The sequence below is a fragment of the Homo sapiens genome, chromosome 18, assembly GCF_000001405.40.
Source record: "Homo sapiens chromosome 18, GRCh38.p14 Primary Assembly".
NCBI lineage: Eukaryota > Metazoa > Chordata > Mammalia > Primates > Hominidae > Homo > Homo sapiens.
Window position 1 is genome coordinate 8,682,134 of NC_000018.10, and position 12,814 is coordinate 8,694,947.

Genomic DNA, 12,814 nt, shown 5'->3' on the forward strand with positions numbered 1-12,814 from the left:
TGAACCCAGGAGGCAGAGGTTGCAGTGAGCCGAGATCGTGCCTCTGCACTCCAGCCTGGGCAACAAGAATGAAACTCCGTCTCAAAAAAAAAAAAAAAAAAAGGGTGGGGGGCAGCGCAGTGGCCCACTTATGTAATCCCAGCACTTTGGGAGGCCAAGGCAGGCAGATCACTTGAGGTCAGGAGTTCGAGACCAGCCTGACCAACAATGGCGAAACCCCGTCTGTACTAAAAATACAAAAATTCGCTGGGCATGGTGGGGGGCACCTGTAATTCTAGGGAGGCTGAAGCGTGATAATCGCTTGAACTTGGGAGGCAGAGGTTGCAGTGAGCCGAGACTGTGCCACTGCACTCCCGTCTGGGTGATAAAGTGAGGCTGTGTCTCAGAAAAACAAAACAAAACCAGAAGTAAAGAGGGGAAGAAAGTAGAGGGGACAGGAGGAAAGGAAAGAAATCTCCCTGAAGTGAATAAATCCACATATTCAAGCATTTGGATTACAGTTAATGGGGTGGTTTAGACCCTTGAGATCAAGGTGCAATTTTACGCATCTGCAATTTTTCTGCCACTTTTTCTGTAAGAAAGAAAATCTTTGACCAAATGGTTACACTTCTGAGGAGTGTGAAGAAGGAGAAGTGTGTCACTACTCCCTGGTGTCCTGGGCTCACAGCCCTGAGGTCCCACCTGCTCTGTGGGGCAGAGACTGTGCTGGCTGTGCAGCCTCTCCATTCAGAAGAGCATCCTTGGCAGACTGTGCTATCCCACTAGACACGGTGGACCAGAACCCGCGACTTGATTTCCTAAACTCCTGATGGGAGAAGAAAGAGGTGAAGAAGAAACTAATTTTTTTTTTTTTTTTGAGACAGAGTCTCGCTCTGTCGCCCACGTTGGAGTGCAGTGGTGTGATCTCGGCTCACTGCAACCTCCGCCTGGTGTCCACTGTCTGTCTTACAATGTGTCTGGTGTCTTACACATGGTCCTACATAAGACAGTAAGACAAAGGCCGACGGACACACAGCTGTCATTGCTTCCCATCCACTCCCACCCTCTCCTCCACCAGTTGGGCTGGGGGCAGACACCTGACCCAGGCTGGGTCAGTTGGATTTTCTCTCTCAGGAGCTTTGGAACACAGGTCCTGAGAAAAGGAGCTGATGTGCTACAGGCAACAGAGCTGCAGTGTCATATGTGGTCATAGCTTGAGCTATTATTGCAGTAGACCAAAGCCATGTGCAGAGAAATTACAGAAGGCGAGAGAAGCCACGAGTGGGCCAGGCTACATCGCTTGGGGAGACAAGCAGACACAAGGAACTCCACAGTGCAGAGAAGACAGAGGTCTCTGATTTTCCAGCATGATGTGGCTGCACGCTGTTTCATTTCTCAGAGGCCTGAGGGAGTAACTGTTATATCCTTAGTAAAACCATCTTTTACTTAATGTTGACTCAAGTGGGCTTGTGTTCTAGGTGTAAAAAAGTGAAAAGTGTATGTCCCAAATCTAATCTAGGGACAGAACCTAATTTTATGTGATGTAATCCCCAAACTTCTGGGAAGAAACTGACTTTTTTTAATTTAAATTTTTTTTTTCATTTTTCTTTTACCATGCAAGACTTCATCACAAGAAATCAACATTTTTGATTTTGAAAAATTAAGGCAATTTAATATTAAACTTTAATGGGGTTAAGACTTGTTCTGGGAAACCTGTTTCTCACTCACCCAGTCAAGCAAGACAAAGGTGACCTTTAATCAAACATCCTTTTCAGGTTGTATCTGGCCCCTTGATGACCATCTGATAACCACCTTTTTTTTTTCCCTGTAAAATGTCCCTGCCAAGAGAAAACTGTATTATTCTTTTTTTTTTTTCTTTTTTTTTGAGATGGAGTCTTGCTCTGTCACCCAGGCTGGAGTGCAATGGCACGATCTCGCCTCACTGCAACCTCTGCCTCCCAGGTTCAAGTGATTCTCCTGCCTCAGCCTCCCAAGTAGCTGGGATTACAGGTACCCACCACCACTCCCGGCTAATTTTTGTATTTTTAGTAGAGATGGGGTTTCACCATGTTGCCCAGGCTGGTCTTGAACTCCTGACCTCAGTTGATCCACCCGTCTCAGCCTCCCAAAGTGCCGAGATTACAGGCATGAGCCACCACGCCCAGCCACAAATTGTATTATTCTAACAGGGGCCTTTTCCTTTGAATATAAGATTGTACTAATCTCATATACAAATTGTCTGAAAGTTTTCTCAGGCAAGGACAATGAGGCAAGCTCTGAGGCAGCAGATGTCTCAATGTTCTCCTCAGCAGTGGTCTTACCTGGGAACTTGCTAGAAACGCAAATTCTCTGGTCACGATCGAACAACTGAATAGGAAACTCTGTAGGTGGGACCCCACAGTGTGAGATCCAGGTGATGCTGACATGCATGACATTTAAGAACCTCTGTACTCGGGACACTGAAGCTCACATAGTGCTTGTTGGATTCCTCTAAAGACTGAGCTTGGGTTGGGTTGTACAGGAGTGAAGGGTGTAACCAGAACAGGCTCCTTGCGCGATGCACACAGCACGTCAATCCGCTAAGACCACCAGGTTGCAGCAGAGAAAGAGGTTGAATCATAGGGTCACTGAACAAGGAGATGGGAGGGAACCTCAAATCCACCTCCCCAAGGAGTTTGGGGCCAGGGTTTTTAAGGGTTTGGAGTGGGCCAAGACATGGAGCTCGTTGGTGGGATAGTGCAGGGTGAAGTCGTCGGACAGGGAGAGGAAGTAGCTGTGTTTTCAGGCTGATCCCTTCCTCTGTGGGGTCTTCAAACTGGGTGCTGGAACTCAGGGTCTGAAAAACATCTTAAGTTAAACAAAGTCCTCATGCTTCTAATGTCAGCGATCATGTCTATAAGAACAATGGGGAGGCAAATTAATTCTCACACAGTCTTCTGACCCTGTGTCAGAAATCTCAGAAACAATAGGGAGACCTATGGGTCAGGGTCTACGGCTTCATGACTTTCAGCAATAAGGCAGTGGGCCGGAGTGCAGCCTGCCTGATGCTGATTATAAGTATATTTCTGTCCAGAACCCAGCACGCAATTTTTGTTAATCCTGTGGGGACATATCCACATGCCAGTTTTCCATATTCTTCTTGGCTCAAAGTGGCCTCTCTTCAATAAATAAATGATCCCCTTGAGAGGGGCTTAGACAGTGACCCGGTGAAAAGCCTCCCACTGTTTCCACTGTGGACTGTGGAGCTTTGTTCAGACAACAGGCCCAACTGTGGCTCCACTGGCCCTGCGATAACCCTACACTGTTGGCTGGCCTGGTTCCCCGTCCAGAAGGAGTTTAATGAGGAGGTGAACATGAGCACTCCTCACAGCGAACGTGCCCGAGCAAGTCAGCAGGACTCAGATTTGCTTGCAGTTGTTAGCCAAGCTGATCTCCTGCTGACACGTTTAGCTCGGGGACAATGTCCTGTCCCCAGACAGGAGGCCTGAAAACTTGACAGATGGCAAGAGCTAGCATCTTTCTTTAGGATGAGAAGCAGGGAAGAAGCCCTCATAATTGGAGGAACACACATTTTAAGAAGGAAAAAAATGGCCACTCCTTACTAGATCATTCCTCACCAGCCCCTCCCGTCTTCCTCAGGGGAAAACTGCTTTCTCTTTCCTCTGTGCCCCAGGGCAGCTCCAACTCCTCCGACGCAGCACGATACTGTTATCCTTGCTTCTAGACTGGCTCCTTAATGAGACTCTTTGAGGGCCAAAGCAATGATTAGTCATCTTTGTGTTCTCTGTGTTTGGCAAAATGTATTTGCTGGATGAATGAGCTTTAACTAGGGCTGGTGCAGATGTTTGGGTGGCAAGGGGAGTTGGCTAGCAGATCCTAAAACCCAGGCAATCAGCCCTTCCTGACTGTAGATTCCCGTTGGCCTCGCACGCACACACACATATACACATCTTAATGGTGATTTCAGGACACTTAAAATTCCCTTTCAGTTTAAAAAACCTTTAAATGGGCCGGGCGCGGTGGCTCACGCCTATAATCCCAGCACTTTGGGAGGCCAAGGTGGGTGGCTCACCTGGGGTCAGGAGTTCGAGACCAGCCTGACCAACATGATGAAACCCTGTCTCTACTAAAAATTCAAAATTAGCCGGGTGTGGTGGCACTTGCCTGTAATCCCAGCTACTCGGGAGGCTGAGGCAGGAGAATCACTTGAACCTGGGAGGTGGAGGTTGGAGGCTGCAGTGAGCTGAGATCACGCCATTGCACTCCAGCCTGGGTAAAAGAGCAAAATTCCATCTCAAAAAAAAAAAAAAAAGCTTTCAATGGCTATGGTGGCTAGTTGCAATGGTCCATTCAAATAGAAGAATTAGTTTCCACTGCCTTACTCCCAAAGAACACACACATCTTACAGAAAGGTGAGATACTACTCATGTGTAGGGTCATTTCGGTTCCCATCACAGAATGCAAAGAAAAGCACTGGAAATTCAAACTGCATTGTGTCAACCTTATTGGTTCCTTCGGGGCTGCTGAGAAGTGTACTTATGTGTTCTCAGTGCACAGAGGTTTGCTAAGGAAATGTAGAGTGTCAGCAAGACCAGGGACACTGTTTTCTTAGTTGAGCGAGGTGGCTTTATTCAGGGACTTGGACATTTGCATATCAGCCTCACGATTGCAGGGACAGCAGGAGCTGGCATGAATTAGGCTGGTACTTGATATGCTAATTACAGTTCTCTATAATCTTTGAAGGCTGTTTGGAAAGAGAATTTAGAATTGGAGAGAATGGAAACGCAGTTAGGTTAAATGACATGCCCAAAGGTCTCAGAGCTAATCAATGGGAAATTTGCTACGTGTTTCCAATGTGCGAAGAATACTACATGCAATACCTCCTTTAATCCTCTCAGCAATTCTCTGGTGAGTATTTTATTACTATTATTGCCATGCTGTAAGGGAAGCCACACAGAGCTGCCACTTGCCCAGACTTACTCTGCTAATGAGTGGAGGAGTCAAATGAGGTTTGTTGAGATTTCGGCTGAGGTCAATCTGGTCCCAGAAAAGAACATTCGAAGGTCATTCTTGGCTTACCGGGAACAGAACTAAGATTGTCTCCATTTTTTTTTTTAATCACTCAAAGATTTTAATGCTCAGTTTTTACAAACACATTCAAGTTTCCATCCAATTTTCTGATTCGTAGCAAAATGTACTAGCTTTAAAAATGTGCATTCTTCAGCTTTCTCCTACACTTTTTCGCCTATTTTTCAAAACTGAGCACTGGGTATTTTTAACGTAAGTGATATTATGTTATATGTGCATTTTAATTGCATGTTTTTCGGAAGAAATGAAATCCATGATATTTTGGGTAACTCATAGTGTACTTATAAAATGAAAAGCTTGCTATCAAAATATACTTTTCACTGGGAAAAAGAAATAAAACAAACAAATGGATCTACATGAATTAAACATTGCCTTTGATAGATTTCAGTGCAGGACAGTCCAGAACAAACATATTTGCTCTTATTTCCCCAGAGCTGCTCAACTTCTTAGCTGAGTATTTCAATAATTTTTTTTTTTTTTGAGACAGTCTTGCTCTGTCGCCCAGGCTAAAGTGCAGTGACGTTATTTCGGCTCACTGCAATCTCCACCTCCTGGATTCAAGTGATTCTCCTGCCTCAGCCTCCGGAGTAGCTGGGATTACAGGCCTTGGTCACCACACCCGGCTACTTTTTGTATTTTTAGTAGAGACAGGGTTTCGCCATGTTGGCCAGGCTGGTCTCAAACTCCTGACCTCAGGTGATCTGCCCACCTTGGCCTCCCAAAATGCTGGGATTACAGATGTGAGCCACCGTGCCTGGCCTATTTCACTAATATTTTTAACTGAGATTTTATTGTGTTGGCATTTGTTTATCATTCCACATCTTTAGCAGAGCTCTGAGTGCTTACAATTTTCTGATAATTGTTGGGAGTTTACTCAGGAGCATTGGACCACTGGACACTCGCAGTAACTGTCCACACCCAGCACTCCCTGTCATCAGATGCTCCATGTCCTTCTCACACTCACCTTGAGCTAGTAACTCTTCTCTGAGCTGTATTTCTTCAAAGAAGATTTCTGAACAGCTTCAGCAACTTTAAGGTCAGGTCACTTGCAAAGCTCAGCTCTCTCCTTGGCAAGCTTCTGTGTCTTTCTTTGTTCTCACAGCCTGTTCTTGAAGGTAGGGTCACTCCGTCTCTTGTGGCCTAAGTAAATGCAGTACCCAATGAAAAGGGCCCTGCGTACCCTGGCTATGACGGCACTGTTCTGGCCCAGCGTCTTTTGTAGACTGTGGCGTCAGGGTCTCAATTCCTAAATCAGCAATGAACATCTGCTGCTTAGTTCCTATTATTACTGTACATAAAAGGCTGCATTTCTTAAATTGGAAAAAAAAAATGGGCATTTTGTACATTCAAGTTGGCCTTCTAGTTAGTTCCCGACCAAATTAACCATTATCAAGATGTTTATATTTCACTGAATTCACGAGCTGTCTGACAGCAACAAAGGTCATATGAACATTGTGAAATCAGGAGTGAAAACATGGATGTGTCTTTTTTCTATTTCCCCCCTCATTTGAGATTTGCAGCGTACTTAACAGCAACTGATGTGGTATATTCTGTCCTTAAATTTAAAAATTATAAAAGTAAACACTCAGGTTGAATATTTGGAGGGAAACATTGATACTTTTGCACAGCAAAAATAAATACATATATTTCTCCTTTATTCAAGAAATTTCTCAGCAACTGGAAGTGCTGCTGTGAGACTTATCCTGAAATCTGCACACGCTGTGGTTATTCGTGCAGGAGAAACGTGGGAATGTGCTGGTTCCTACGGCAAAGGCCCCGGTTGGGGCTTCTCCCTCCCAAGCTGTGCGGTGACGCCAGCCACACATGCAAGGACAGCAAATTGGAAGTTGGTCATCACTGAGGACTTAGGAGAGCTTGGGTGGGTGTGTGGGGTAGATCTGAGGGGCTAAGGAAGGGGCACAATGACAGGGATGGGTGCTGGCTGTACCCGGCATGCAGTAGATGCTCAACAAAGGTGGAGTCTCAAGACAGATGGCTCAGAAGTCTTTGGGGAAGGGGAAGGAGAGGGAGTTCAAAGATGAACCTTTGGAGCCCAATATCAATTTAAAGGAGCAGAAAAGCAGTGCAGACAAGGAGGCTTCTCATCTCTAAGCATCTGCCTGTTCCTCTGCCTTCTAGAAGACACTTCCTGTTAGAATTTCAGGCTCATGCTCCTGGCCTTCCCTCTTCTCCCTGCTTGGATCAGAGTCTCGATCAGAACATAGCTCCTGGGAGACCCCACTGGCCTTCAAGACAGACAAACAGGAATAGGGGGATTGTGGCAAGTCTTTCCCCACTCAGTAATGTGGAGAAACTGCCACGGGAGATAAGCAGCTGAAAATGTTTCCATCTATGACCTAATAAGCCAAGTCAATTTCACACACACACACACACACACACACCATCAAAAACATCATGAATCCCGATGACATCACTTTTGCATCTGCAATGCTATTACTATTGTTAAGGGCCTTCTAAAGCACCTTGTTAAATCAGCATTTGATCCAATCACACTGCCTGCACTCAAATCAGCGTCTGAGACAGCCACAGGCCGTGCTTCTTCTTCACCGCACCGCACATAAGCACAACCCAAGCACGTACTTGGGCTGCTGACGCTTGGCCACTGCGTGTTTCCTCACGTAGCACAAAGGGACGCTGGGCCACGCAAGGTCGTGTTGTTCAATGGCAGCTGAAATGTCACAAGCAGGTTTCCTTGAGCCTTAATGGGTTTTGTTTTCCCAAAGTCTCAAAGAATCGAACCGCTTGCCCCCTTTCATCAGTCTTCTCAGAACACTCCCCCAGGACCGAATTTAAACTTCTGGAGGGATCAAAAATCAGCTAATTAATCAGGAGCTCAAAGCCAGCCTCTTCCTGGATCAGCGCATGGGGGTTGTGCTCCTCCACACTCACCGCCCTATTTAATGTTTTAATTAAAAAATTTCTTCCTCATCTTTTCCATTTTTAACTTGTATAGAACTCGTTTGAGTGGAACTCTTTCGTCCTATGGGCTCCATGCACTCCCAAAGGCCTCCGATTCTTGATGAGCATAAAACCTTCTCTCCACCATCATCTCACTTGCAAATGGAAATTCCAGAGCTGCTCCTGGCTCTGAGAACCCCAGGGCAGACATCTAGTGGGAACTTTCCATGAGGAAGCAAGACATCTCAGCATGTCTGACTGTTGTCTGAGGACCCTTAGCTCTTTCCTTCCAGCCACTTCTCTGGCATCTCTTTCCTCTGTGCATCCTGCAAAGTCGGCCCGTCTCACTCTTCGGAAAGACCCCAGCTCTGATGGTGGCCTGGTGCCCGCAGGGAGTAGAGAGTGTATGAGAGGAGGCAGCACCCAGTGGGGCAGGAGTGTGTGCACCGCCAGGCACTTCGGAGTTCAAAGCCCGGCCCTGCCACTTAACAGTGTTATGGTGTGGGGTGAGTGGCTTATTTGCCTTGTGTCTTGGTTTCTTCATCCGCAGCACTGAGAGAAAAATAATATCTGCCTTCCCCACCTTAGGACCCATTACCGCATTGACAAGGCTCATTTGCTACCTTCACCATAAAGCCTTGCCAAACCTAATTACTTCCCTTGTAGGTTTTTGTTCTTGTCTTCGAAATTTGCAAAACAGAAAACCTATTTATTTTCCGATGAGAAATGGAACTATCAAGCACATTGTTTGCCTGTAAGCAGATTTATACGGGAAGCTAAATTATTGTCAGGATGTTGGCTGTGCACGGCTCAGAGGCGCTGGTGTTGTGAAGCAATGATGGCCTCACACATTCATCTCCACTAATAATAGCTCATCCTTATTCAGGTGGTGCTAGATGCCAGGTGACGGGACTCTAAATGTTTATTTATTAAATTTTAATCCTCACTATAACTTATGAGTTAAGAACTGTTATAAGCTCCCTTTCACAAACAAGAAAACTGAGGCATGGAGAAAGTCACTTATCCAAGGACACACAGCTGGCGATGCTGGGGTCTGCCCCAGAGCCCAAGCTCTTGGCACTGTGCTCTCTCTCCAGGGAGAAGACTGCAGCGCAGACTCCACACTGCTTTCCTCTGCGCCTCTTACCACGCACATCTGTACTGCTGGGCTAACTTCCCGGGGAATATGACCTGCATGATCTCACAGGATCTGTGCTTAGAAGAGTTTCATCCTAGGGCAGGTGCCGTGGCTCATGCCTGTAATCCCAGCACTTTGGGAGGCTGAGGCAGACAGATCATGAGGTCAGGAGTTCAAGACCAGCCTGGCCAACATGGTGAAAATCCGTCTCTACTAAAAATACAAAAATTAGCTGGGTGTGGTGGCAGGCACCTGTAATCCCAGCTTTTGGGAGGCTGAGGCAGGAGAATCTGCTTGAAACTGGAAGGCAGAGATTGCAGTGAGCCGAGATCATGCCACTGCACTCCAGCCTGGGTAAAAGAGCAAAACTCTGTCTTGAAGAAAAAAAAAAAAAAGGAAGAGTTTCATCCTTAGTTTAATACTCTGCTGTTGCACTAAACTTGAAATTCTTAGCCCATTGATCTCTGAACCTGCGTTTCTTAAAAGAAATCCAGTGGGACAATGGAGTGTATGGATGAACAGAGCAGACACATGCAAGATACATGTCTGCTGTTCCTTGCCATCTGATTTGCACACTGCATTCATGTGGCCCCTGAGCACAGCGTTCCAGTGGGCCACGACATACAGAATTCGGCAAGGCTCAATGCAAATACAAGGTAAGGTAAGGATGTGGTGTCCATGACCAAGTAGGCAGAGGCACTGGAGCTCTGAGAGGCTATGCTTTCCTTTGGACCAGGAACTGACCAGAACTGGCTTTTGAATGCAGAAAGGAGACAGACAGTAGTGTTCAAAGATGCATAGATGGCCAAGAAACCCTATCACATCCTTTCTTACTCATGCAATTTCCCTCTACTAGCCAACCCACCGTTCCTTTTTCTTCTAATTCTTCCTTACTCTTTAGTAAGCTGAAGGAAGAGTGTTTGTAAAATACATGAATATCAAGAAGCAAAACAAAAATAGATGAGTTAGTTTGGGACAGTGTTTCTACAGTTCTAGTAAGAATAAAACATATAAGTATACGATATTCAAAATATAATTTGTGTAATATCTGTGATCCAACGTGAGCTAAAAGCCCATGTTTTTTGCATTTAAAAGTGGCTTTGCACAACAGAAAGATTTATGGTCTTGTTTTTGTCTTGATCCATCACGATCTTAGAGTGCCCTTTTGCGAGGCTAAGGTTCTGTGAAATGGTTTATACTGAGCAGGAGAACACAGGGCCTCGCTCAGAGGGCCAGGTGAGGTCCTAGGAACACAAACGCCTGGGTGACCATGGGGGCCAGCTCCAAATGTCAGCCACAGCTTTTCTCTTTCTTGTGACATTTCCTGTATGAGATTATGTGCCCCATCAAGGCAGGTACCATGTTTTTTTCATCCCTGCTGTTCCCAATATCTATACATGGCCTAGCATTTTTGAAGGTGTTCAATAAAGAATCTTCAAATGAATGAGTGTATACACGGGTGAGCAGATGAACAGGATTCTTCATTTTCTATCCCAGTTGGATTCAATTTGGAGATGTTCTTACCTGTGGGAATGTGCGTTAGTCATGGCTGACCATGCAGGCTGAGCTGCCCGGCCTGGGCCAGTTCACACCTGTTGTCCCCTGTAATTACTGACTATCTCCTTTCACTCTCAAATGTTCTATGATCTGTATGATAAACTATATGACCACCCTAATTACAGAAGGTAGGAAGCCTTCAGAACAAGAATAATAACAAGAAGATACCAGTCAGGGGACTTCCTAAAGATAGGTGTTGATGAAGGAGGGGACAGCAAATGCTTTCTAAGCCCTCTTTCTTTTTCTTTAGATGGGATCTTGCTCTATGATCCTGGCTGGAATGCAGTGGTGCAATCATGGCTCACTGCAGCCTCAAACTCCCAGGCTCAAGCAATCCTCCCACCTCAGCCTCCTTAGCAGCTGGAACTACTGGCACATGCCACCATGACCTGCTAATTTTTTTTTTTTTTTTTGGTTGGGGGGGGATGATGGGGTCTTGCCATGTTGCCCAGGGTGGTCTTGAACTCCTGGGCTCAAGCAATTCTCCTGCCTCAGCCTCCCAAAGCGCTGGGATTACAGGCATGGGCCACCACACCCAGGATCTAAGGGCTCTTTCTGCTCTCAGATTCTTAGATCCTGTGAGATATATTATATATACACATATGTATTATATCATATATATTATATTTTATATGTTATTATATATATATAATTTTTTCTTTATTTACAGGCATACCTCATTTTATTGTGCTTTGTTTTATCGCACTTTGTAGATATTGTGTTTTTTACAAATTGAGGCTTTGTGGCAACCCAGCATCGAGTGCGTCTACTGGCACTACTTTTCCAACAGCATGTGTCACTGTGTCCCATTGTGGTAATTCTCACAATACTTCACAATTTATCCTGACTATTATGACCATTATCTGTCATGGTGATCTTTGATCAGTGATCTTTGATATTACTATTGTCATTGTTTTGGGGTGCACTCATATGAGATGACAGACTTAATTGATCAATGTTGTGTGTGTTCTGACTGCTCTGTGGGCAATATTTAAAGGAGGGAATACAAAATTTACTTATTCCAAATCCACAGTATTGAAAAACACAAAACCATGGCTAACACTCAACATTCTACCCCAATAAGGTCATCAGGAATATGTAGAACTAACTGGGATATTGTGAAACATGTATTTGGTTTTCCTCCCCCTCTCCTGGTATATAGCTCCTAAAATCCTTGGACTCTTCAAAGTGATAAATGCCTTTCTGTAGCTTCAGGATGGGGGCTGTCACTGGAAAAACCAAGACAGGATTATGGAGTTGGGACTTTCAACCCCACCTCCCAATCTCCGGGGAGCGGGGAAGGGCTGAAGGTTAAGTTGATCAGCAATGGCCAATGGTTTAATCACTCATGCCTACTTAATGAAGCCTCCATAAAAACCCAAAAGGACTGGGTTCAGGGAGCTTCTGGATCGCTGAACTCGTGGAGGTTCCTGGAGGCTGGTATGCCCATGGAAGCTCCATGTCGCTTTCCCCATACTTCACCCTATGCATCTTTTCTTCTGTGTCCTTTATAATATCCTTTATAACAGTAAACATGTTTCCCTGGGTTCTGTGAGCTGCTCCAGCAAATCAATCAAACCCAAGAACAGGGTCATGGGAATTCTGATTCATAGCCAGATTGGAAGCACAGGTCACAGCCTGGGGCTTTTGATGAGCATCAGAAGTATGGTGGGTGGCCTTATGGGGCTGGGGCCTCAACCTCTGTAATCTGAGGCCATCTCTAGGTGGACAGTGTCAGAATTGAATTGAACTAGAGGACACCCAGCTGATGTCCACTGCAGAATTAATTGCTTGTTTGCTGGGGAAAAATCCCTGCACATTTGGCATCAGAATTGTGTTGTGAGGGTAGAGTGGGAGGCAACTGAGTTTGCTTTTTTGGCTCACCAACATCTGTTATATTAATTCCATCATATTAACCTTCCTAATTATGCTATTCTATTAAGATTAGTTAACATCCTTTGAGTATATTTTGTCTGAGAATGAACAGAGGTGATGATATGGTTTAGATGTTTCGTCCCCTCCAAATGTCACATTAAATGGTGACCTCCAGTGTTGGAAGTGGGCCTGGGGGGGGGTGTTTGGATCATGGGGGGGGATTCTTCATGCGTGGCTTAGCACCATTCCCTCAGTGAT

At 45.4% G+C, this 12,814-nt stretch overlaps 1 pseudogene, besides 1 other annotated feature; it reads right to left on the reverse strand.

Moving 5' to 3' along the window:
• TOMM20P3 (TOMM20 pseudogene 3) lies at positions 5,889-6,277 on the reverse strand (annotated as a pseudogene).
• Positions 8,024-8,889: an enhancer, noted in NCBI's record as "H3K4me1 hESC enhancer chr18:8690155-8691020 (GRCh37/hg19 assembly coordinates)". NCBI's record gives its function as "activates a minimal SCP1, AML or CMV promoter by ChIP-STARR-seq in naive H9 embryonic stem cells {active_cell/tissue: H9 hESC(naive)}" and the evidence as "EXISTENCE:reporter gene assay evidence [ECO:0000049][PMID:30033119]".